The sequence below is a fragment of the Homo sapiens genome, chromosome 1, assembly GCF_000001405.40.
Source record: "Homo sapiens chromosome 1, GRCh38.p14 Primary Assembly".
Lineage (NCBI taxonomy): Eukaryota > Metazoa > Chordata > Mammalia > Primates > Hominidae > Homo > Homo sapiens.
In genome coordinates, this window is record NC_000001.11 from 156,969,157 (window position 1) to 156,995,705 (window position 26,549).

General features: G+C 43.5%; 1 protein-coding gene and 1 pseudogene across 24 annotated transcripts in view, besides 2 other annotated features; both read right to left on the reverse strand.

Annotated features, from left to right (window-relative positions):
* Positions 1 to 26,549, reverse strand: part of ARHGEF11 (Rho guanine nucleotide exchange factor 11) — a 112,064-nt gene that overhangs the window by 34,317 nt on the left and 51,198 nt on the right. For 9 of the 24 annotated variants that reach the window (XM_047435294.1, NM_001377418.1, XM_047435300.1 and 6 more), the window contains exons 2-10: positions 16,926 to 17,017; positions 15,183 to 15,281; positions 11,281 to 11,330; positions 10,073 to 10,130; positions 9,048 to 9,226; positions 7,827 to 7,898; positions 2,541 to 2,660; positions 842 to 887; positions 126 to 202 (exon numbers count right to left, since the gene is read on the reverse strand). In XM_047435294.1, the coding sequence (XP_047291250.1) occupies positions 126 to 202; positions 842 to 887; positions 2,541 to 2,660; positions 7,827 to 7,898; positions 9,048 to 9,226; positions 10,073 to 10,130; positions 11,281 to 11,330; positions 15,183 to 15,281; positions 16,926 to 17,017 (793 nt within the window). Of the gene's footprint in view, positions 1 to 125; positions 203 to 841; positions 888 to 2,540; positions 2,661 to 7,826; positions 7,899 to 9,047; positions 9,227 to 10,072; positions 10,131 to 11,280; positions 11,331 to 15,182; positions 15,282 to 16,925; positions 17,018 to 17,342; positions 17,358 to 18,553; positions 18,587 to 26,549 lie in introns of all 24 variants that reach the window. The other 15 variants (XM_006711662.4, XM_006711660.5, XM_006711661.4 and 12 more) reach the window with 6 other exon arrangements.
* Positions 12,402 to 12,594: a silencer, noted in NCBI's record as "fragment chr1:156951350-156951542 (GRCh37/hg19 assembly coordinates)". NCBI's record gives its function as "represses an EF-1alpha promoter that drives an FKBP-Casp9 reporter gene in an ReSE screen in phorbol 12-myristate 13-acetate-treated (for megakaryocytic differentiation) K562 erythroleukemia cells {active_cell/tissue: K562(+PMA)}" and the evidence as "EXISTENCE:reporter gene assay evidence [ECO:0000049][PMID:32094911]".
* On the reverse strand, positions 16,599 to 16,893 carry RN7SL612P (RNA, 7SL, cytoplasmic 612, pseudogene; annotated as a pseudogene).
* Positions 22,725 to 23,225: an enhancer, noted in NCBI's record as "H3K4me1 hESC enhancer chr1:156961673-156962173 (GRCh37/hg19 assembly coordinates)". NCBI's record gives its function as "activates a minimal SCP1, AML or CMV promoter by ChIP-STARR-seq in primed H9 embryonic stem cells {active_cell/tissue: H9 hESC(primed)}" and the evidence as "EXISTENCE:reporter gene assay evidence [ECO:0000049][PMID:30033119]".

The following is a 26,549-nucleotide window of genomic DNA, read 5'->3' on the forward strand; positions in this document are numbered from 1 at the left end:
TTGGAACTAGAACGATGGAAGAGGCACACAGAGGCCTCAGTGCAGCTGGTAGGCAGCAGAACTTGGGTCAAGGGAAGGGACCCCGAATGCACGTTCTGAATGGGCCTTGCCCTGCTGGGACTCACCTCACTGAGGGAAGGAAAGCGTTCTGTCCCAGAGTCCAAGCCACTGTCCCCCTCCTGGGAATCCAGAGAGAGCCGGCCTGAGAAGAAAATAGTTTCTATAACACAGAAGGAGCTGTGGCCTAGGGGAAAGAGAGCCTTTATTCTGGGCACCTGTGTGCAGGGCAGGAAGAGGGAGCTGCCACCTTTTCTTTCACCAGTTTCCCTTCAGCTCTCTCATCCCATGACCTCTAGACTCGGACACTTCCCGGCACACCTCCCCTCTGCTCTCATCACATCTAGCTTTCACCTGTCTATGCACCTGGGCACAGGCCATGTCACCTCCTGAAATAAGACTCCATAACTCTCTCTCACAACTAGTTTTGCTCCTCAACTCCTTCCCAACCCTCTTCTGGTCACCACCCATTTCTTCTTACAACAAATATTTGCTGAATTCCTTAGTGCCAGGAGCTGTCAGGCAAGCTGCTGTCTGGACCATACTCATTCTGGTATCTTACTAGCCCTTATCTATCCCGGCTATTGGCTATACACTCTATTCTACTGCCTAAGTTGTATCCAGCTTCCCTGTGTATTTGTACTGCTTTCTCCCATTATTTCATTTCTCAGAGGGCAGGCACTATATATTTTCTTTCCTGGAATCTGCCCCATGGGGAGGGTAAACAGGTAAGAAACCTGGACTAGAGATATGCCAGAGAAAAAAGGGGTGATGGGGGACTTACCTTCTGATGGTCTCTGGCTGGTGTCACCATATAGTGGAAGTATGTCCTGAAACAGAAAGGCCCACAGGGTGGGCAAATTCTGTGAGCCTCTCCCCCTACGGTTTTCTTTCACCAATCAGTGCCTTATTTGCTTACAATTAGTGGCCTCTTCCGCTTCATTGCCTCAAAAATGCCCAGCTAGAAGAGATATTGCTTCATTTGTACAGTTTGAGGATGACAATGACCCCTAATGGTGGAAAGGGAGCTTTACCATTACTGAAATTCTAAAAGCTAGCTTTATCCAATCACCCTGGACCTCAAAGCATCTATTGCCTTATTTGGATACAAGAAAGAACTTCTTAACCATCAAGAAGTATAAAAAAAGACTCAAGCAGGTGACCGAGGGAAGATATAAAAGGTTTACCTTTGGAGATCTTTGAGGAGGATGGACAGGCATTGGCCTGAGACTGACTGAGCTAGTGGGATGTGAAGGAAGCGATGTTGATAGTGCTTTGCTGTTTACAAAGCACTTTTCTATGTCACATTTAATCTTTCAATGGCTCTGGCTTAGGCATGTTACTCTCATGTTATCAATGAGGAAACAGAAGCTCAGAGATCTTAAGTAACTTGCCCAAGATACACAGCAGGTCAACCCTAAGGCCAGGGTTGGCGCTCAGACCTTCAGATTCCAAGCTTAGTTTCTCAGACTCATCACCTCATAGCACAATCAACAGTGCAGTGGCAGCAGCAAACATGTACAGCCCCTCTGTCAAAGGCATGCTTTAACTCTGACAACACTGTGATCTCCATTTTATAAATGAGGAAGTTAAGGCTCCTATGGATTAATTAACTTGCCCAAGAGTCTTTAAGCTGATGAGAAGTGATGCTGGATTTGAATCCAGATGGTCTAAGTCCACAACCTGAGCTCCTACCTATCAGCCATGTAATATGAGAAGTCCTTCAGAAAATGAAGCAGTTTAAATGTATTTGCCTATGTTTCCCAAACTTTTTTGATCTGGATATCCTAAAAGCAAAAGTAGATCATCTTTAATTAATTCCTATTGGCTTTGTCAAATGTTATTCTTGGAGACCTTAAAGTTTCTGGAGAGTTACTTCTTATTTACCCCAAGAATTAAGGCCTGATGGAGAGCAGTAAGACACTAATAGCAAAGTCCCTGAAGAGAATAGATAAAGAATCATCTACTCTCTGGAGTTTTCCATAAAGTGTGGTTATCTGCTGATACAGATCCATCTCAACAGACTGGGGGTCTTTTATGTAGTCTGACTTTAAAAAGTACTTGTATTTCTTTGAGAAGACTCATTACTTGAGTATAGGTGGTGGGAAAGGGTACCAGATGAAATACTGGGTAAAACCAGTATAGAAATGTACATACATCCACTATGAAGAACTACCCAGAAGGGAAGAATAATTCAGAGACTAACACTGACAATCTGTTTATTTCATATTTCTTTCTTTCCATTGCCTATGTTGTTGGAGGGCAAGAAATAGGCTTTTTCTTTTTATGGTATCCCAAGTGTCACTACAATGCTCAGCCTCTTTGGTGCTGACCTTGGTTTCTTTGTAAAATACTAAACACTTACTAGTTCAGCCTTGAGGTCCTGGCATAACCCAAGAAGCCTTCTGTCCTTGCTTTTTCCCTCACTCTACCCCCAGTTCTACTGCATGTGCCCTTACTAGAGCTGTGCCTACATCACTCACCACTGAGCCACCAGTCTCCTGCTGGATCTTCAGCTGTAACTGAGTGACTCGCCGCCGGGCACCTTCGATCTGCTCTTCCAGTAGGCTGGCGGGGTTCCGGCTATAGACCTCACAGATACGCTAGGGATGGGTGAGGAGGAGAAGGGGGAGGGGAAAAGGCAGAGGGGTGGTTAATAGAGAATGGATGACTCACCAGTGGGGAGAATAGGCAGTTATCCCAAAACAAAGATGAGAGAGAAGAGGTCTCTGCCTCCAAGTAGATGCACGGTATTTCAACATCATTCAGGATCAGAAAAAGATGTAAGTGATGAGAAAAAGAACACAGGAGACAACCACAGAAAGAAGACAAACACAAAGGCCTGTCCTAATCTGAGCCATTCTTCAAGGTCTGCCTTAAGTCCCACATCCCAAATGAGGCCTTCTTCAGCTACCACTCAAGTATGAAATATTTGATTGTCCAGACCAGAACATAAAAAAGTGCTTAAGAGGGAACCTACACACAATGGAACCACAAGAAATGAGAGGAAGCAGTGTCGACTACAACAGCCAATGCCTGTGCCAGTCCCATCCTCAGGAAGCTCCTGGAGAGCAGGTACCATCCTAGCCACTTATCTAGCACTCCTCAGGGCTTCACAGTTAGGGACACCTGGCTTTGACTTCTGGCACCTCCACTTACTAGCTGTATAGACTTGGGCAAGCTTGAATACATCCTCATTGATAAAATGGAGATGACAATACCCGCCTCATGGGACGGGTGTAATAGTGGAGTGAGATTATGTATATGAAGTGCTTAGCAGAATGTCTAGCGCAAAGTCAGATACCTGAATACATGGCAGCTATTAACATTTCATTACAAAAGGAGATGCTCCATAAAGCTTGTTGGTAAATAAAGACATTGGGTTCACATATTATCTAGGCTCATCTGGGGCTTCACTACTACCTGACAACCATTTTACAAATTCCCCATACTTAATATTTCATCTTCTCCATGCCCATCAAACCCCAACCCTTCTCTAGCCTTGGCAGATAATACCATCTGGTAAAAACCTTCCCAACTGTACTCCATTTCAAAACATCTTCAGTCATCTTTTTCTCCTGGCTCAGAAGAAAAACTATGTCTAAATCTTTCAAAAAGTTAACCCTCTGACTGCTTTGGGCTCTTCTTGGGCACTGTTCACATATCTTCAAAGTCTCCTTTTTCCAATGGCTCCTTCTCTCCATCCTACAAAATGTTCGAGTTTCCTGATTTAAAACAAAAACAAACCACCCCAACAAAAGTCTTTCAATCATTTCTGATGATTCTTCAAGCCACTGCCCCATTTGTTTCCCCTTCTTTTCACAGCCACTTTTTTTTCTTTTTTTGTAAAGGGATATGAGCCTGTGGTTTTCTGATTTTATTTTATTTATTTATTTAAATAGACACAGGGGCTTGCTATGTTGCCCAGGGGTCTTGAACTCTTGGCCTCAAGTGATCCTCTACTTTGGCCTCCCCAAGTGCTGGGACTATAGGCATGAGCCACCATGCCCAGCCCACAGCCAAATGTTTCAAAACATTAGTCTACAACTAGGGCCCTGCACTTCTTTGTTTCTAGTTGCTCATCAACATATACAATCTAGTTTCCTCCCATTACTGCGCAGGCTACTCTTTCAAAAATCAAATGTAATAGCAAGTGGTGTGATTATTAGAGGTTGGTGCCATGTGCTGTAGAAGCACCTATGTCCCAAAATTCCATCCTCAGCTCTCTCCTCTCTGTACTGGTGTTCTGGGTGATCTCTTTCGGTCATCCAGTCCCCAGTTTCAACTATCACCTTCATACTGAGGATATCCGAATCTCTGTTTCAACCCAGGCTTTTCTCCTAAGTTCAGCCCTGTTATCTCCATATGCCTGGTGGCTGGTTTTTATCTGAATGTCTCATGGGCACCTTACACTAGTATACCCAAAGCTGACCTTCATTTCCTTCCCCTAAGCTCTGCTCCTCTCCTCTATCTCACTCTGTCACTGGTATCACCTGATCTACCCAGACACACAAACTTGGAGCCATCTTTTATTCTTTCTTCTCCTTCACCAATGGATAAGTTCTACTGATTGGCCCTCTGACAAGTCTCCCATTGCTATCCTCTCCTTTTTGCTCTTACTCCTGCTGTTCTTGTTAAATCTGTCATTATTGCTTATCTACTGCAATAGCCTCCTCGATGGTTTCCTTACATTTAACACACTTCTCCAAAGAACACTGGTTTGAAAATGTCATCAGTCCCCCACTCAAAGTTCTTTGATTAATTCCCACAGACTTCAAAACAAATTCCAAGCTCCTCATGGTATTCATGGCCAATAACACCTTCCAGTCACAAGACTCACTGCATTTTTTCTTTTTCTTTTTCTTTTTTTTTTTGAGACAGGGTCTTGCTCTGTCACTCAGGCTGGAGTGCAGTGGTGCGATTATAGCTTTGCAGCCTCAAACCCCTGGGCTTAAGCGGTCCTCCTACCTCAGCCTCCTAAGTAGCTAGGACTGCAGGCATGCACCATTATGCCTGGCTAATTTTTAAAACTTTTTTAGAGACATGGTCTCACTATGCTGCCCAGGCTGGTGTTGAACTCGTAGGCTCAAGTAATCTTCCCACTTTGGCTTCCCAAAGTGCTGGGATTACAGGCATGAGCTACCACTCCTGGTCCCACTGACATTTTCAACGTTCTATTAACAGCAGACTGAATCCAACTCAAGCATCACCTCACGAAGCCTTCTGATTATTGCATAAATAATTATGCTTTGTTTTGGACTTTAAGAGCATTAAAATTTTTTTAAATTGCTATAGAGCTGTAATTCATATGACATAAACGTCACCATTTTAAAGTGTACAACTAAGTGGTCTCTAGTATATTCACGGAGTTGTGCAGCCACCCCTACTACCTAATTCCAGAACATTTCCGTAACTCCAAAAAGAAAGCTGGTACCTGTAAGCAGTCACTCCCAATTTCCCCTTCCTTCAACCCTCTGGCAACCACTGATCTACTTTCTGTTCATGAATCTGCATATTTCGGACACTCCATGTAAGTGGAATAATACGACCTGTAGATTTTTGTGTCTGGCTTCTCTCACCTGGCATAGTGTTTTCAGGGTTCTTCCATGTTGTAGCATTTATTAGTACTTCTTTCTTTTTTATGGCTGAGTAAAATCCCATTGTATGAACAGACTATATTTTGCTTATCTATTCATCAGCGGAAGAACATTTGGGTTGTTTCTACTTTCTGGCTATTATTAATAATGCTGGTATGAATGTTCATGTACAAGTTTTTGTGTGAACCTATGTTCTCAATTCTCTTGGATATATACCTGGGAGTGGAACTGCTGGGTCATATAGTATTGCTGTGTTTCATGTTCTGAAGTACTGTCAAACTGTTTTCCAGAGTGCTTGCACTATTTTACACTCCCACCATCAATGGCGGAATAGATTAGCACAGTGAATATGCAGACAAAACATAAACAAGTATTGTTTAGATTTCTCCACATCTCACAACGCTTGTTATTTTCCATTATTTTGGTTATAGCCATCCTAATAGGTGAGAAGTGGTAGGTCATTGTCATTTTGATTAGCATCTTCCTGTGAATAACAATGCTGGGCATCTTCCCATGCTTATTGGCCATTTGTATGTCTGTCTTCTTTAGAGACTGTCTATTCAAATCCTTTGCAAGTTTTTAAATTGGGTTGTCTTTTTATTGCTGAGCTTTTAAGAGTCCTTTATATATTCTGGCATTAGATCCTTATCAGATACTTGAATTGTAAATATTTTTCCCCATTTCTTCTATGGGTTGTCTTTACTTTCTTGATAGAATCCTTTGACATATACAAGCTTTAAATTTTGATGAAATCCAACTATTTTTTTGGGGGGAGGTTATGCTTTTGGTGTCATATCTAAGAAACCACTGCCCAATCCAAGGTCATGAAGATTTACTCCCACCTAAAATTTTTTCTAGGAGTTTTACAGTTTTTAAAAATAGTTTTGGCTCTTACATTTAAGTCTTTGTCCACTTTGAGTTAAATTTTGTTTACTGTATGAGGTAAGGGTCCAAATTAAGTATCTGTATGTAGATATCCAGTTGTCCTAGCACCATTTGTTGAAAATACTATTCTTTCTCCATTGAATTGTCTTGGTACCTTTGTTGAAAATCAATTGACCATAGATGTATGGGTTAATTTCTGGCATGTGAATTCTATTCCATTCATCTACAGGTCTATCCTTGAACCAGTATTATACTGTCTTGATTACTCTGACATTTGCCAATATATAAATGTTAGCACTTATCATAATATAGTATATCTTCATTCATTCATCCATATCCTATGGAATCACTAACTCATTAAAGGAGAGGTTTATCTTTGTAACCATTCCAACACCCACCCCTAACATTACCCCCATCTACTGCTCCAACACACACACACGGTATCTAGCATATAGCAAGGACTCAGTGCTTGTGAAATAAATACTTGTATTTTCATATCTTTGTGCCTTTGACCTATGCTGTCTTTTCACTGGCATTCCCTCCCTCATCTCTTTTGCCTACTAAAGTACCACTCTTCAAGGCCCAGCTGAAATACTATCCTCTCTGTGAAGTGCTTCCCCATATTTCCCATTATTAATTAATTTTTCTCTTCTTTGTTCTCTTATTGTAAGCTCTTTGTTCCTCCCACTCTCCCTCCTACTGTAATTTGAATTTCCTCCATTAGATTTTAAACATGTTGAGGGGAGGAACCATCTAATCTTTTTTATTTCTATATAGCCTAGAAACTAAAACAGTGTTTTATATATGGTGGCACTTACATGGATGGCTATAATAGGAATCTGGTTATTCCACTCCAGTAAATTAATCTTCTTACTGTTCTCTGTGCACATCACTTCCTAGGCCTGTAAACTCTCTTCATCCTTCACCCAAGTGCTCCCCACCTCTTTCAGTCTGGCCCAGCACTCACCTACCCATCCCTTTCTTCCCTCTTTTCCTTCCCTTCCTTGGAAATGTCCCAGATAAACTCTGTTGACTTTTTTTTGTGTACATATTCACTATCCTAATCTATTACACATGGAGAATCCTATTCACTTTATTGGTGAAATTCTGCTTTAACAAATTCTACTGGCCAATGACAATTCTTTAGTGGTCCGGAAGTTTTATTTTTTGAGGTTTTACTGTGATAGGATATTGCCTGTAAATTAAGTTGTGTACATTGGCAGGCTGCTCTGATAAAGTATTATTTCACTCAGGCAATGGCCAGTCTACCCTTGGCAGTGACCTTACCTGTAATTCTTTTTCTTCCTGCCTCAGCATATTCCTGAGGATCTGGGTGGCATGTTTTTGAACTTCGGGATCCTAGACATGGAAAATATGGCAATATAAGAGTTAGGGACTAACTCAACAGCTTAGCTCTCTTCTATCTGCTGGTTCCTGGGCAAGGACAGCTATGAGAATAGAGCCTGGATCATAAGTATGTTTTATTCAGTACCTTGCCGGAATGCAGTAAACACAAAATCTTATTTTGAGTTTATGCCTCAATTTGGCTGTAATCACCTTTGGTATCAAGTTGCTCTCTAAAGTCTCCCAGGACTTGTGGGCTCAGTCTTCATTCCAACTGAAAAGTCCTGTTCCCTATACTTGTCTGCATCTTGTCCTCTTTTAACTCTTCACATAGGTGTTTCTTGCTTCTAGAGTTCTCTTTCTACTTGTTTTTTTGTTTTGTTTTTTCTTTGAGATGGGGTCTCACTCTGTCACCCAGGCTGGAGTGCATTGGCACGATCATGGCTCACTGCAACCTCCACCTCCTGGGCTCAAACAACCCTCCTGCCTCAGCCTCCTGAGTACCTGGGACCACAGGTGCATGCCACCATGTCTGGCTAATTTTTTGTATTTTTGGTAGAGACAGGGTTTTGCCATGTTGCCCAGGCTGGTCTCGAACTCCTGAGCTCAAGTGATCCTCCCACCTTAGCCCCACAAAGTGTTGGAATTACAGGTGTGAGCCACTGCGCCTAGCCTCTACTTGTTTTTGTCCTTTTCTGGTCCCTCCCTCTACTGAGTGGGCTCTATATTTTGCACCTCAAAGCAGGCTTTTTTCTCTAGGAAGCCTTTCCCCCACTCCTTGACTTTATTCCAAACCCTGGTTAACACTGACTGGCAATGGTCTTAAACAGATGCATTCTGCCCCTGCCTGAAGTGTACACTCTCTCTCTGATGAGGAGCACTTTTAGACAGCATCCTTAGAGTCTTCTACACATTTAGGAAACACACAATGTTGCTGTGTGATAAAACCTCATATGCATTTGCATGGAAGGAGGACACTAAGGCATGGAACAACTGTTATTGTGCAGCCTTCATTTTTGTTCAACTCTTTCAATGGTCTTTCATATGTCTTTTGGCTTGTCTCTGTTTACCACAGCCCCACTGGATTTAACTTGCTTTCCTCCCCAATGCGGAGCTTTTCAACAGGACATTAGGGTGAGGAAAGAAAGCCAGGAGGATTATTACCTGCAGAGGTTTGGGTCCTGTGATGCGTTGTGGAGGTGGTAGAGGTGGAGGAGGTGGTGGTGAGGGGATCACTGACGTGATTCGGGGAGCTCCTGCTGGGGATGGGTCCTGCTGGAGCCCAGAGATGCCCATGGATGAAGGTGAAGAGCCCAGGAGGGTGAGTGCGACATAGGCGCCAGCTAGAGGGAAACAGAGAGAGACTTGTTCCAGGAGTGCTGTTCTGGAGAGACAGTCCAGCTATACAGGAGGGGGCTGTTCTCCCTTGTCCTGTCATTAAACTCATTATTCTGTAGATTAAGTTCTCCTCACTTTTAATGCCCCACCCATTCTCTAATCCCTGCCTTCATGCCCAAGTACTACTTCCTGCCCTTCCTTCATGCAGAGACCTCAACTAGAATTCCACTCATAAATATCTGGGAACACGCCCCACAGGCTGCCTCAGCAGCCTCTTGTTTCCCCCTTTATCTCACTAAAGTAAGTAGCCAGTGTCACACTCTGAGCATACTGCCCACATGGCACAGACCAGGCACTCAGATTCTAGCCCTCTGCTCTCCCCAAACTTCCCACATTCTTCAATTCTTTCTTCAACATTTGTTGTTTCTATTTGAATATTTGTGCAGACTCAATTGTTGGGCCTTCCTGGCTATAAACAGATTATTGTTGCTTTTCCCTGCCAAACAGAAAACAAATGAGGAAGAATGTCCATGAATGGCAGAGGGAATTGAAAGGTATTTGAGGGAGACCTGGTCTCAGTAGGATATGGTCTAAATAGGTGTGGCAAAGATGAGTGTGGGTAAAAATGAAGATGTCTCATGAGAGCCTAGTACTGTCTCCACTTGAAGTAATAGGGAATTGTGGCCACTTAAGTGGATCACTCCATGTTACGATTAAAGATGTGACTTTAGCTGCCTCACATATCTACAAAGGAAACCTCCTGGAATGCCAGGCCTGACCTTTCCTCCCTCCTTTCCTCCCTCTCGGATCATCTGCTTCCCTACTTTAGTTGTCACCTCTCTCCAACTCACATTTGATCAGCTTTACCACTTCCAGGTGTGAGCTATTGGTCACCATGGTGCCGTTGACCTGTTGGAGGGACAAACAGTATTGAGTAATGGTAATGAACAGCTAGGGGATCCTTCTGTAAGTTCAAAATGCCACTTTTTTTTTTTTTTTTTTTTTTGAGATGGAGTCTTGCTCTGTCACCCAGGCTGGAGTGCAGTGGCCCATCTCGGCTCACTGCAAGCTCCACCTCCTGGGTTCATGCCATTCTCCTGCCTCAGCCTCCTGAGTAGCTGGGACTACAGGCGCCAGCCACCACGCCCAGCTAATTTTTTGTATTTTTAGGAGAGATGGGGTTTCACTGTGTTAGCCAGGATGGTCTCGATCTCCTGACCTTGTGATCCGCCCGTCTTGGCCTCCCAAAGGGCTGGGATTACAGGCGTGAGCCACTGCGCCTGGCCCAAAATGCCATGTTTTTAGGAAGCCATTTTCCAATGCTCTTTAGCCTCCTCTGGTCACTTGTTTACTCAAGTCACACTATGAATTTGTTCTGTTTGTATCTGCTATTTGTTCTGTCTCTCCAGCTAGCCTATGAGTTTTCAAGGACAAGACCTGTGTCTTCATTCCTTAATTTGTTCATTCATTCACTTATTTTTGGTATACACTTTTCTAACCATTTGCTTCACACACATGTGAATGTCCACTGACCCAGTGTGCTTCCTCATTACAGAGGACTAAGAAGTCTCTGCATCTAGGATTTCCTTAATGCACCCCACTATGTTGCCCAGGCTAGTCTTGAACACCATTCTGTCGAAGAAAGGTCTGAACGACCAGGGCAGGTTATAGTAGTTCAGAATGGGCAAAGACCCCAGGTTGGCATTATATGGAGGAAAGAATATCAACCTGAGAATTGAAGTCTTGGATCCTTCACTAGTTACTAACCCTCCCTCTTAATCTTATTTTGGTCATTTGTGAAATAAGAATAATAAAACTTGTTCTAGAAGCTTGGTTGCTTTAGAGTCAAGAAAGGCCTAAAATGTAGAACACAGCTATCCTCCTCCTCACTCTCTCTCATGCTATACCACTGTGCTCCCTCGTATGGTACCACTCCTAACTCAGTGGCTGCCTGGCAGTTGGTATCAAGATGAAAGTGTGCAGGATGGGCCAAGGCCAGGAGTGCCCTGCACATCTATTTCCACTGCTGGGAGTGGGAGTGTGTGTTGGGGTCACTCACTTTGATGATCCGGTCGCCCTCTTTCACACCGGCCTTCATGGCTGCACCTCCTGTAAGGAGAAGGCCTGGTCAGCAGTGCCCAACAACCTCTTCCACTGAAGCTACACGAAGGTCCCTGTCAGATCACCTCTCCTCTGAAATTTCCTCTTATTTCTCTGTGTTAAGTATCTCAAATTCTGGGTGTACTTCCTATTCTACTCCAGTGACACAACTACTTTTAAGCTAGAGTGAACTATATAAGGTCCCATCTCCTGCTCTTCCTTTCACCTAAATAAGATGCCAGACTTCTGATAGCCAGGCCAAGGCAGGAGCGAGGCAGGGCCAGGCTCTGGGAAGAGCACGTGTGCTTCATTCGAGTGTATCTGGATATGTTCCAAGGTCAAATCAGTTATATTCCGGGGGGGGGGGGGGAAATGAGTTTACTGTATGAAACATAATTGTTAAAATAATAATTAAGAGAAATTCAGAGAAAAGGATTAAAACAAGAGTTTCCTAAGTCCTGAGAGGTTCATAAAGATATTCTCGGTATTCACATCATTAAAGACAACTGTTTTCTTTCTTTTAAAAAAACTGTTTTAAGCCATTTACAGTTTCTCCCCTCCTTTTTTTTTATAGACAGCCTTGCCCTGTAGCCCAAGCTGGAGTGCAGAGGCGTGATCTCAGCTCACTACAGACTGGATCTTCTGGGTTCAAGTGATCCTCCCAACTCAACCCTCCCAAGTAGCTATGGAACTACAGGTGCATGCCACCATGCCTGGCTAATTAAAAAAAAAAAATTTTTTTTTTTGTAGAGATGAGGTCTCACTGTGTTGCCCAGGCTGGTCTTGAACTCCTGGGCTCAAGTGATCCTCCTGCCTTGGCTTCCCAAAATGCTGGGATTATAGGCGTGAGCCTCCATACTCAGCCCAGTTTCTCCCTTTAAAATGGACCAAATTAAGAGCTTCTGATGGTGACTGACTGTGAGGTGCTCAAAAGAACATGCTCTTGACTTTTGCAACTTGTCATTCAACTGGAGGCTACAGTGGTTTTGACCACAATATGGTTTGTTTGTTTGTTTTGAGACTGTGTCTCACTCTGTCACCCAGGCTGGAGTGCAGCGGTGCGATTTTGGCTCACCGCAGCCTCAACATCTTGGGCTCAAGTGGTCCTCCCATCTCGGCCTCCGAAGTAGCTGGGACTACAGGCATGTGCCAACACATGCTAATTTTTGTATTTTTTGTAGAGACAGGGTTTCACCATATTGCCCAGGCTGGTCTTGGAACTCCTGAGCTCAGGCAATCCTCCTGGCTTTGCCTCCCAAAGTGCTGGGATTATAGGCATGTGTCACCTCGCCCAGCCTCACAAGATAGTTTTAAATGACTTATATTCCTAGTTTAATTTACATCCAGGAAGCACAAAAAACACTAAAGCCAAAACAAGTTAATGAGAAGCATAAAAATTACATATTGTACATTTGCCCCAACGTGATCATTAAATCTTTAAGTTGCATTCCTCTGATCAAAACAAAACTCCCACAAAGCCCATCTAAATGTTTCTACTCTAAAAAGAAAAATTCAGTGATGACTACATTCCAATTTGGCTTTTCAATACTGGGACTCAAGACTACCCTCAGCTAAAGTGTGCTATTTATGGAAGAGTACTTGCAAATAGCTTGAAATTCCCTCTTATACGTTCATTTAGAAACTAACGTTAAAGACAACAGAACTATCTTGCCTGAATGTATGAAACACGTGAGGTGACTTCTAATAACTTAGTGTTTTTTTTTTTTAAACTAAACTCTTCAGAGTTAAGGAACTTGAGCAGAAATTCTCAGACTTCAGCAAGCCTGAGAATCACTGTGGGAATTTTTAAAAAGTGTATTTCTTGGACCTCTTGCCAGAAAGCAATTCAGTGCTTCCGAGGTCAGCCCCAAGAAAAAGGATTTCAATCATCTTGGGCTTAGGTGATTCTAATACAGGCAGAACACAGACTATACTTTGACAGTGAATTAAAGAAACCTAATATGTATCTGGAAAAGATAACCGCTGCTTTGTTACTCTTGTGACTTCAATGCCAATCCAAATGAAGTCTCTTTTACTCTCCTCCCCAACACACACATGCACACAGGGATGCATGCATGCACACACACACAACTCTCACACACACAGACTCTAGAACTCATATTCTCCCTGTAAGCCATCTTTTCCTTCTTTCTTCTCTGGGTCTGACTCTGCTCAGCCTAAGAGAAGGAAGAAGGTAAAGGAGAGCTGAACCTTGACTTCACTGGAGGGGATCCCATACACATTTTCTGTACCAGATAGACCAGCAGAGGAAAAGTACAAGTTACTGGCAGTTCCACTAACTCTGTCTCACCCTAGTCCAGGAACCCTGAGAAATAAGAGAAGCAAATAATAAAACTATCTTTTTAGAGCTTCACCCCAGGATATGCAAAACAAACCTCCCACTGATATAAGTTTACTCCCAAATATAAGAAGCCATACTTATTTATATCCTTATATGATCCACATACTCATTTTGGTCATACATTTGAAATTCTCTTTTCACCTTTCCTGTGAACATATCTCATATCTTCCTCCAAAATCAATGCAAGTATATTTTCCCTCCTGCTCTGCACTATCAGGAAACCTGCTCCCAATCCCTTCCTTGTGCTCTTGTTTAAGCCAAGCCTAGGATGCTCCATGTCACCAGCCCAATGCTACTTACTGCACTGAAGTTCACTCCTTTTAGGGACACTTCTTTACCCTTTAAGGACTCTCCCACACCCACTGCCTTTCTTTTTTTTTTGTTTTTTGTTTTTTGTTTTTGAGACGGAGTCTCGCTCAGTCACCCAGGCTGAAGTGCAGTGGCACGATCTTGGCTCACCGCAAGCTCCGGCCACGGGTTCATGCCATTCTCCTGCCTCAGCCTCCCGAGTAGCTGGGACTACAGGCGCCTGCCACCACGCCTGGCTAATTTCTTTGTATTTTTAGTAGAGACAGGGTTTCACCATGTTAGCCAGGATGGTCTCGATCTCCTGACCTCGTGATCCGCGAGCCTCGGCCTCCCATAGTGCTGAGATTACAGGCGTGAGCCACCACAGCTGGCCACCCATCGCCTTTTTGATTGTCTTCCTCAGCCTGGACCACCAACAGTGGTTCCACTACCTGGCATATGCTAGAGTTTTGACTGTTCACACCCCTTCTATACACAATTGGTAACTTGATGGATTTGGCTATGATGCCCACCCACTCTTCACTTCCTTCCCACCAAATTCCTATCCTGCTGATTTGCTTTTCATTTCCATCTTTCAAACTACTTCTAAAATCCTGTTTCTTTTAAGAGGGCTTCCCAAATGATCACAAGGAAAATGACTATGCCTCAAATCACAAACTACTCAAACTTCCAAACACCATTTCCCCTGACATCACATCCAACATATATCATTCATCTGTTGGTAATTTATTATTTAATGTTAATTGTATCAGCAAATGTGCTCTGTAATCATTTGGACCATTGTGCCTGTCTCAGGTTATAAACCTCTGTAGAAAGTGACCATCTGTGCACTTAGCCAGGTAATGTGGAGGTAAATATGAAGAAAGGGGGCCTTTGATTCCTCCATGGAATCTTGTGACCCAGTATGAGGGGCTCCCTTCGATGGCAATCAGACATCTGCCTGATGATGACCTGACAGCTATTCTGCTGGTTTTTCACTTTCCAGCTAGGGAAGCGAGCATGAGGTGCAATCTCTAGAAATTCTGCCTGGGGGCTTAGCATTGAAGAGGCTTCCCCACGCACCCATGGAGAACCAGTTCTAGAGTAATTCATTCATGCCCCACAGGAAAGCACAGGTAGAATGGCACTGTCACATACATGGTGGCTTTGCAAGAACTGTCCACCGTGGGCAGGAGGGATGCAGCACTCACCAGGCCGCACAGACTGCACCAGAACAATGCGATCCCCACTGACTGTGAAGCCGAAGCCATGCTGGTCCTTTTGGATAATGACACAGCGTTGAACGAGACCTGGAAGGCGGAGAGAAAGGTTGAGTACGCAGTGTCACTGGGAGGTTAGTGTACACATGCCAAGACCAACCCAGGGAAGCCCCAGTGCCTTTCTTCTTCAAGAAGCCTTTTCACACTAAACAAATTCCCTAGACTATTCCTGTCTAAACACTATTGCAATGACACGCCTCCCTTGGTGGTTGGCAAAACCTATAACTTAACTTTGTATTCCAAATAAGAAACTACCCTTCTCTGAGGTGCTAAAATGCTTGTCTCTCACAAACATGTCTGTCCCTTTTGGTGTGCCCGGGTGAGACTGGTCAAAGAAGGGGTAGGACCAGGTCTAGCCATCCTCCTGAAGACTAATATTACCAATAAGGAGCCTCCCAGGATTGAAGCCCAAGTGAGCCTAGAAGTTACATGTTAAGTGACATCCAATGAATGCAGCAAGTGGTATACCAATGCTTGTTGATTCTTTTTATAGAGCTGGATAACTCATGCAGGGTGACTTAGGAGTGGTCTCTTGCCAAATCTAGGGAAGGACACATGACAAGAAGAAAACCCTTTTATTTCTGAAATAAAAGGGTTTTCTTCTTGTCATGTATCCTTTAAAAAAATACAGAATTAAAAAACAAAAAGAAACAGAGGTTATCACTACCAAATGTCTCCATTCCTGTGAGTGTATACTAGACATCGTACATGTGTATGAGTATGTGTGATTGCATCCTGCAATGATTAAAGCGTGGGTTCTAGAGTTAAAACAGAACTGGTTTCAAGTCCCCAGTAAGCTTGCGAACTTGGACATATTTCTTAACCTCTCTGTGCCTCAGCTCCCTCATTTGCAAAATAAAGATAATAAAACCTAGTTTCTATGTTGATGTACGGAGGCAATTTATATAAAACCCATTAACACAATGCCTAGTATACATCATGTGCTTAACATAAACACTAAGTTGCTTTACATTTGGAGTATACAGATCTGTCTGTATGAGTGTACATCTCTGTGTCCATGTGGGTTTTCTTTTGAGACAGAGTCTTGCTCTGTCACCCAGGCTGGAGTGCAATGGCGCGATCTCGACTCACTGCAACCTCTGCCTTCTGGGTTCAAGCAATTCTCCTGCCTCAGCCTCCTGAGTAGCTGGGACTACAGGCACGCACCACCACACCTGGCTAATTTTTGTGTTTTTAGTAGAGACGGGGTTTCACCATGTTGGCCAGGCTGGTCTCAAACTCCTGACCTCAAGTGATCTGCCTGCCTTGGCCTCCCAAAATGCTGGGATTACAGGCATAAGCCACCACGCCCAGCCATGTGCCTTTTTTTTTTTTTTTTTTAAAAAGAGATGGAGTATCACTATGTTGCCCGGGCTGGAGTACAGTGGTTATTCATAGGTGTGATCCCACTACTGATAAGCATGGGTGTTCTGACCTGCTCCATTTCTGACCTGGGTCAGTTCACCTCTCCTTCGGCAACCTGGTAGTTCCCTGCTCCTGGGAGGTCATCATATTGATGCTGAACTTAGTACAGACACCTGACTGGCATAGCACACTACAGACCAGAGCTCTTCGGCTCAAGCGATCCTCCCATTGGCCTCCCAAGTAGCTGGGAATACAGGCATGTGCCACCATGCCTGGCTGTTTTTGTATGTTAATGCCCAAGGAGGTTACCTGTTGTCTCAGAGGCATCCGAAGGCTGGCGATGGTGGGAAGGGGACTTGCGCTCTGGTGCAGAATCTCCCAGAGAAGACAGGCTACTTAACCTGGAGAAGGAGTAAGGAAAGCATGTCAATGAGCTCAGCAGGGGGGATCAGCCTTGTAGTAGATGGAGGCTCTGTCAAAAGGGGCCCTGAGTCTTGGATAATGAGAGACCAACCTACCCGCCCTGTAACCCAATCTGGTAGGACATTAGCCATGTGTACACCACTGGTAACACCACCTATCTGGAATCCTGGGCTGGCAGGGCAAGCATGATCTCTTTAATACCCAGCAAGGTGTGAAGGGAAATAACCCTTCCTGGAGTTAGGCGACAAAGAGACAATAGCAAGAAGGGGATGTGCACACGTGTACATGCTTGTTGGGTCTTACCAGGCTGCAATGGGGCTGATGGAACAGAACGGAGCAGCAGAGAAAATGAATGCAAGAAAAAGACAGGGAAAAAACAAACAGCCAGTTAGTTTTAGGCAATGATTTGCAAAGGAAGGGGAGACTGGAGGGAAGGACGAGGTGGGTCAAACACATACAGAGGTCTGCATGAGCACAACATGTGGCTGTAGTGGTGGCAGCAGAGACAAGCTCCCCATTTAGCTTCATCTCTTTGTCCCTCAAAGTTCCACCTCTCCATAACAGTGATCTCCAGGAGGGTAAATGGGCATGAGTATAAGCCCGCTGGGTAACTGGCAACTTGCACACTTTCTAGAAAAGACAGTAGAGGAACGGCCCAAGCCTTTGAAAATTCCATTTATCCTTTGGGTACCATGGGAGGACAGGAATCTGGTCTGTTTGGCGGTAGTATTCCAACCCCATATTCAGCTCCAGTCCCTCAGCCAGCCTGAGGCACCTCGCCTAATTAGAAACTACTAAAGACCCCAAACCTTCAAGTGGTACACATCACCAAACCAAAGGATTCACTGCTTCATCTCCTCTTCAACTAGGACCCTCACAGGAATAGAAGAAATTTCAATAACTGCTGTGGCACTCCTTTTTGGAAAAGTGTACAAGTTGCAAGTTCCTGAATCAATAGTTGCTGCCCCTCAGAAAGGGGCAATTCCTATCCTACCTATAGCAAAAGACTAAGTAGAAGGCTACTCATGGAAGCACTGTGTGTGATGGCAAAGCACTGGAAATAATCTAAATGTTCACAATGAGTGACTGGTTAAATAAATTACAGTAATACAATGACACAGAACTCAGTCATAAGAAAGAATGAAGAGGCTCTTTATACATGATACAGAATATCTCCATGATATGTTACTGAGTGAAATAAACAAAATATAGAATTATTTGGACAGTTTAAAAAAGTGAGTAAAGGAGAGAATAAAATTATGTGTTTATATATGTTTAAATATTTATTTACATATCCAAAAATATCTAAAATATCTCTGGAAGAATACAAAAGAAACATATAACACAGTTGTCTCTGAGGAGGGAAACTGGGTGGCTGGGGCACAGGAATGGAAATGCAGGCTTTTATTATATTCTTTGGTACTTTTAATGTTTGAAACCATGTGAGGGTACAAGTAACTTATAAATATAAAGGAGTGGGTCTTCGTTCCCCCTCACAATGGCACCCCTCTTACCTGGACAGGTGAGACTGCTTTTTACTGGCTGATCTTTGGATCAGAGAGAGAAGGACATCAAGGAAGAAGAGAGCGTGGGCCCAGGAGAGAGCAACGCAGGACAGGAGGAAGAAAGAGAAAGAAAAACAAAACACGACATAAACCAGACAAGACACTAGGGATGGTTGGTTCGAAGAAAAACCACAACAGAGCCAAGAGTGACCCAGGGGAGGCACCTGGCCACAAGGTGAGCTTACTAACAGCCATCAGCTTTCTAACATCCAAATTTACCCATGTCATTTTGCTGCTTAAAACCTTTTAGAACCTCCCCACTGTACTTGGGAGAACAGTCATCTGGCCTCAGCTAGGCCATTCGCCACAGCATCTAACAGGAAGTATAATGCCTGATGCCCGGGGAAGTGCCCTTTGATGTTTTCCACAGCTCCCAGTATCTGTCCTTCCTGCAGCTCAAATACCCAACTGAAAATGCGCTGTTCACTTGTCTGTAAAGCCGTACAGACAGGCAAGGTTGGAAGGTCCATGAAAGCAGAGAGGGTCTTGCTGCTGTGTCCCCAGTGCCTGACGCAATAGGGAGGGGCTCAGTCCTATTCTTGGTCCCTGCTCTTTACTGTCCTCCTTTCACTTGCTATGGTTTCTGGCTTCTGTCTCTGCCTATACTGTTCCTTCCTCCTACATGTTCTGCCTACTTTATTCTCTATGACTGCACAGGGCTATCCACGCTGGGCTTGAACTCCTCCTCCTTCCTACCTAAAGAGAAAGCCCATCTTATCTTGGGACACCTCGGGCCTTCTTGCCTTGTTCTTGACCCCACCAGGAAGCTGGTTTCCTATGCCCATATTAAAGCCTAGAAGGTGCATCTGAACCTGAGAACCTGATTTGGTTTGCATTTGAGCTGAGGCATGAGCAGTTCCACATAATCAAAGGCAAATGAACCAAAAGGTCCATGTCCCTGCTGTCAACAATTGTTAGGGGCATGGACAAAGACCATTTCAGCAGTAACCAAAAGTTTCTCTAAAATAAAATCAGAGGCTAGGGCAGGTATGTGGGGGACAAGGAGATGGCAACGTAAGTATACTTGCAACAGATGCAAAAAAAATTTTTTTTTCTGAGAGCTTAAAGGAGAGAAAACTACCATTGAACTGAAGGAGGAAGAAATGCCTATGGAAGGCAGGCCTGGTGGATAGAATCAATGGACAGACTATTGTGTCAGCTGGGTTGTGAGTCTGAGCACATATTTGGGAGGAAGACCTTGGAAGGTTAAAAATCTGAGAAACAAGGAAAGGAGAGAGGAGGGTAGTTTGGCCTGAAATGGAGGCTGTCATAGATAGAAAAGATTTTAATGGTGGCCCCTCCCTTTTCCTGAGGACATTCTCATCAAAATTTGGCAGCAGAGCTCAGATTCTGCTCAGCCTAAACCTGGGGGTATGGAGGCGGCCCTGAGGAGTGGAGAATTTCCCCCCAAATTTGTACTCTAAATGGCACCACTGAGACAGATTTTCTGACCCAACTTCTCAGTTATCCCCTACTGCCAGTCAAAGAAACCTTTAGGTTCTTTATAATCGTTTCCCAGACTCGCTCCTTTCTTTACATAATCATTGACACTCATCCCTTGAAGCCACATGTCTAGTGCCTCATGCCTGGATTACTGAAAAAAACCTCTTTTCCACTCTCCAGTCCATCCAGCACTCCACCACCACAGACTAACTTACTCAAATACTACTCCCTCAGGCCCTCTCATCAAGAACTTATCATTTCTCTCCTTATTATCTACACAATCAGATGTGCCTCCAATAACTTGGTATTAAAGGACTTTCATCCTGTGGACCCAAACGTCTTTTCAAATTCGTCTCTGATTACTTGCCTACTACCTACCTCTACTGGATCCTAAGCGATGCTATACTCATTCCCACCTCTGACTTGATGGTTGCCATCCCTTGTCATCTCTGTCCATCTCCTACTACTTTTTCAAGGTCCTGATCAAATGGCATTGACTCCACAAAGCAATCCCTGACCACTGCAGCACACATTTCATTTACCCCAACATTTTATTTTGAAAAAGGTCAAACTACATTAACATTGAAGAAGTAGCATGGTGAATATCTACATGCCCTTCATTTAGATTCAGCAACTAACATTTGTAACATTTGCTTTATCTATGTTTATACATTTTTTCTCACTTGAAAATTGTAGACATCATGACACTTTACCCCTATTTTAGCCTATATCCCCTAAGAGCATTGAAATTCTTCTGTATAACCACAATGCCATCAGCACACCCAATGAGTCTGATACAATATTATCTAATATACAGTACACATTCAAATTTCCCCAACTGTCTTATTAAGTTCTTTGTAGCTATTCCCCAATTGCCTCAGTTCAGGAGCCAATCAAAGATCTCGAATTATACTTACGTCCTGTCTCTCAGATTAATTTGATCTAGAACTCTCCCTACTTTTCTTGGTCTTGTCTCTCATAACACTGACATTTTGCAGAGTCTAGGCCAGTAATCTTGTTGAATGTCCTACAATCTGGATTCATCTGATGCCTCCTCACAGTTAGATTCATGTTAAACATTTTTAAGAGACTATTATATAAGTGATGTTGGATAGCTTGCCCCATTTTGGTGACGGTAGGTTTGATTACTCAGGTAAAGTGGTATTCCTGAGATTTTTTCAATGGTAAAAATCTATTTTCTCATTTGAATTAATGAGAAATCTGTGGGATGATATTTTGAGACTGCATAGATACTCTGTTTTCCAACAATCTCTCATCCAATAGTTTTACTATCCATAGATGATTCTTGCCTAAAGCGCTTATTGCACTGGTGCCTGCAAAATGGCAATTTGCTAATTCTATCATTCCTTCAACATATATTAGCCAGTAAGCTTTTATAAAGAATGTCATCTCATCCCTTTTCTGGAGTAGTGCTATGAACTCACAGATCCTGTTTCCCCCGCAAAGTAATAATATATTATAGTCTATTACCCTTTAAAAAAAAAGTTTAAAATGTTCCAATTTGACCAGTGGGAGCTTCTGAAAGCCAGCTCCTGTGTCCTTTTAACATGTCACCATCTGTCTTTGATCATGTCCTTGCTTTCTGGCACAAAAAGATACTCCATGCTCACCTTGTACTTCCCCTATGCCAGACCTGGAATTAAACATTTCTCCAAGGAGCCCTGTTCCTTTTAGCAGGAAATGCATTTACAAACAAGATCTGACTGCTAGGTACTCATTGCTGCTGAGCTGTCCCTCGTTCCAGGCCCTTTTAATGGACAGAGTTAGAAAAATTTATTATAAATTTTTGAGTTCACACTGGTATCTCCAATTTGAACTCAACACAACAGGGTTCTTCATCTTCCCCATTCCACATTTTGTCTTCCTTTTCTCATATTGAGAACCCCGTTCCTAAACAATACCAATATATTTACTCACTGCTCTATTCAATATGCAGAAAAGATAGTTCCTGGAGTTACTACATCAGTATCACTAGTAACAACAAACCTATGAAGTTCAAGATTTTCTTGCAGTTTTGTTTTGTCCTCAGACTGTATCCCAGTATCATCAGTAATGTGTGTGAAAATTTCTGGGTTAATCCACTGGGTTTTTTGTTTGTTTTGTTTAGTTTTTTGAGACAGGGTTTCACTCCGTCGCCCAGACTAGAGTGCAGTGGCACAATTACAGCTCACTGCAACCTCTGCCTCCTGGGTTCAAGTGATCCTCCTGCCTTAGCCTCCCAAGTAGCTGGGATTACAGGCACACACCACCACGCCTGGCTAATTTTCGTATTTTTTATAGAGATGGGGTTTTGCCATGTTGCCCAGGCTGGTCTAGAACTCCTGGGCTCAAGTGATCCACCTGCCTCGGCCTCCCAAAGCACTGGGATTACAGGCGTGAGCCACTGTCCTTGGTCTTAATCTGTTTTTATGTTATCAATTTGAGATATATTTATGTTTCTTTTTATATTTGTACTGAATTTTAGGGTTTTCTTTTTTTCAAGCTTATTTTTTTTTTTTTTTTTTTTTTTTGAGACGGAGTCTCGCTCTGTCGCCCAGGCTGGAGTGCAGTGGCGGGATCTCGGCTCACTGCAAGCTCCGCCTCCCGGGTTCACGCCATTCTCCTGCCTCAGCCTCCCAAGTAGCTGGGACTACAGGCGCCCGCCACTACGCCCGGCTAATTTTTTGTATTTTTAGTAGAGACGGGGTTTCACCGTTTTAGCCGGGATGGTCTCGATCTCCTGACCTCGTGATCCGCCCGCCTCGGCCTCCCAAAGTGCTGGGATTACAGGCGTGAGCCACCGCGCCCGGCCAAGCTTATTTCATTTTTTGAATATATCAAACATTTACATGGTTGAAAAATCAAAATGAAATTTTAAAAGTATATTCAGAAGTGTACCTATTCTTTCTCCCCATTCCCCAAGTAATCATTTTCATTTGTTTTTGGTTTCCTTGCTGTGTTTCTTCTTGTAAAACTAAATAAATACCTATACATATTCTTATTTTCCTTTCTTCCTTACACAACAGGTAGTATCATCCCCTTTTTGCACTTTGCTTTTTTCACTTACAATATCTGTAGAGTAACTCGCAGAACTCTTCCTCTTCTTTACAATGCAGCCCGCATTGGCGCACACATTCTCCCCTCCTCCAAGGCTCCCTGTGGCCTGGTGCGTCAGTCCTGCCTATTTGCTGGAGGGCAGAGGTTGCAGTGTGGACTTCCCGGTATGCCTGAGTGCAGCACAAGGCACAGAGCAGGTGCCTTCTAACTATGCATCCACATGCTCCTCACCCCAGCCCACAGGGTGGGCGACAAAGCAAGGAGATGCTTGGTGACCTTCCAGAGAGCCCACATATCCTTTTTGTTGGTCTGCGGTGTGTCTGTGTGTGAATGTGTATATATATGTGTGTGTGTGTATATATATATATATTTTAAAAGTTAGTTGCTAAGCAATAAAATACAGATTTCTGACTTCTCTTGAAAGGTCAGTCAGAAGTTCTGGCATCCTCGAGCTTACGGTCTCACATAGAGACAATCAGCTGAAAATGAGTGGTGGCAGCCCTCTCCAGATGGGCATGTCTTACCTTTCCCAGTCACCACTGCCCACAGCTTACACTGCCCACTGCTTCACTCAGACCCCTACAAAGTATACGAGTTCGAACTTAAGGTGGCCAAACAGGACTGGCTTCTGGAGTTTAAAGAAACAAAGAGAAGCAAATAACATCACGTCCTTTCCATCTGTCAATGGGAGGTTCCTGGTCTACTCACCCTTACGCCTACCCCATCACAAATGTGTAAATGAGGACAAGGCCTAGAACATCCACGTTCTGTGGTAATAATGATAAAGTTCTTACTACTTACCACGTGCTGTGCTAAGCACTTGATATAACCTTATCTAATTCAATACTCACAAAAGTCTGGTGAAACAGGTAGTACATCCCCATTTTCCAGTGTGTGAACAGAGAGGTTAAATAAATGAAGTTAAGATGTGCATAGAGTTGGTGTGACTTCAAGGTCTGTGCTCCTAAATAAAAAATTATATGACCTGTATATGCCACATGTAGATTTGTTTGGTCTTTATTTTCTCTTTTACATACATACACACACATTCCAGACATATACACATATATACATCACATGTGCCCACACACATATAATATATACATATATGACATGATTAAAGATATATATAATACACATATGCTATATATGTATATAAATACATAATACACATACATAAAATAGATGGATAGAGAAAGATAAAAAAAGCACACTATACACAGGCTGAGCTAGGTTTTCCTGAGTCTGGGGCAAAGTAATATTCCTGGGCCCTTCCCTAAAGACAAGAGCAGTAAACCAGGAAAGAGACAAGAGACACCCTACCAGGACCTTAGCTCCAGATAAAGTCCATACTTACTGAACTCTGACCTGGTCTTACTGGTTGGTTTCCCTTATCTCCCAGGGTGGAGTTTTCAGCAGGCTCCTGGCACCCTAACTTTCTATGGATTCTGCCTCCGGGTAGAATTTTCCCTCTGGTCTGAGGCTGGCAAACACACCGTCCTAGACCTGCACATCCCTACAGTAAGGGCTATGAGGAAAGACGGCTGTTTGCAGACAACCGCTGCTGATCTATAAGCATCAGTTCCCTCATCTCTTAAACTAGAGAATAGACAAATGGTCTCTGGCAGTGCACCAGAGAAGGTTCACTCCTCAGTTGGATCACTTTCTAGCTATCCAGCAGCATACGAATCACTTGAGGCCCCACCCTTAGGGATCCAATTCAGCAGGTCTGTGGTGTGGAATCTATTTCAACAAGCAGCCCAAGCCATTCCTTATTCAGAGGACCGTAACTTGGAGAAACTCTTGAAACAAGTCCCTTAATTTATGAGTCTATCATCAGTCTATCATCTTTCTTATCTGCAAAATGAACACATATTGATATCATCTGTTAGTCTGTCATCTCTTTTAGACTTTAAGCCCCTGAGAACAGGGACCATGTCTTATTCATCCTTGTATCACCAGCTGAGTTCCAGCACAGTGCCTGGTGCATAGTGAGGGTCGCTCCAAAAATGTTAGCTGAAGGACCCATATACGTCCTTTCTTTCTTCCAGGGCTGATGTGAGGGCAAAAAAGATAATATTTATTAAGTGCTTTGAAAGTGTAAAGCCCTCTGCAAATGGTTTTATTGTGTGTTTTTTTTTTTTTTCAGGTGTACAGTAGGTGAGCTATGCTTGAAAAATGTCAGGTGTGAGGGGAACAGAACTAGAAAGAGTGAGTGAAAAATACCCCCAGGGTGTTCAAATTCTAGGTAGGGCAGGGCCAGTAAACCTCACCTTTCTACTTTCATGAAGGTCTTAGACAAAAAGAGATTTTAGGATTTGTTTGACTATCAGAGCAGACAACTTGGCAGACAGGTGTGTGTGGAGAAGGGAGGCAGAGAACTCGTGTGTTGAGAAGGTTGGTTAGCTTGGTTCCACATCGAATATTCAGCACACAGGACATGTGGTATGGTTTTAAAAGCACAGCTTTAGGAGTCAAAATACTGGCACAAGCTCAGGCTCAGCCCTTTCTTGGCTATGTAGTCTTAGGCAAGTCATCCAACCTCTTCAAACCTTAGTTTCCCAATAACAAATGTAGGTAATACTACCTTTCTCAAAGGGTAATTGCGAGGACCAAATCACCTTCACTGACACCTCAAAGCTACAACAGTCAAACTGCAATCAATCTCCCCAGCCCTGCTCCTGATCAAATGTTTCCTCCTCAGTAAAACACTGCCGTGCACTTGCTCACGCCAGAAATCTGAGATTATCTTTGACATCTCTCTGCAAATCCAATCAATTGACAAGTCCTACTGATATGACCTCCTAACATTTCTGAAATCCACCTACTTCTCTTCTCCCCCTCTCTGCCACCACGCTCATTTAAGAGACCATCATCTCTCACCTAGAAGAACTGGCCTCCCCATGTCTACTCTAGCCCCTACCCATTCTTACACACAGAGTGATCTTTTAAAGAGAGAAATTAGAGGATATACACCCTTCCGTGGTTTCCCACTGTCCTTGCATGAAGTTCCAAATCCTGCACATGGCTAGCAGGTCCTTGGGTGAGGGCTCATGCCTATTCTCAAGCTGTGTATCTGGTCACCCTCCCTCTCACTCACTGTATTTCAACCTCAGGGGCTTTCTCTCCCCACCTTGGCCTGGGGAACCCACACTCATTCCTCAGCGTTCAGCTTAAGTGTCCCTTTCTCAGAGAGGCCTTCTCTGACACTTAATGTGTTGAGTTTCCCTGAAATTTACCTTTGTAATGTGCCTAACTCAATAGTAACTACACTATTGTTTGGGTGCCTTTTCTTCTTCTTTTTTTTTTTTTTGAGACAGGGTCTCACTCTGTTGCCCAGGCTGGAGTGCAGTGATGCAATCACGGCTCACTGCAGCCTCGACTTCCTGGGTTCGAGCTCAAGCAATCCTCCCACCTAAGCTCCCTGAGTAGCTGCCCAGCTTGT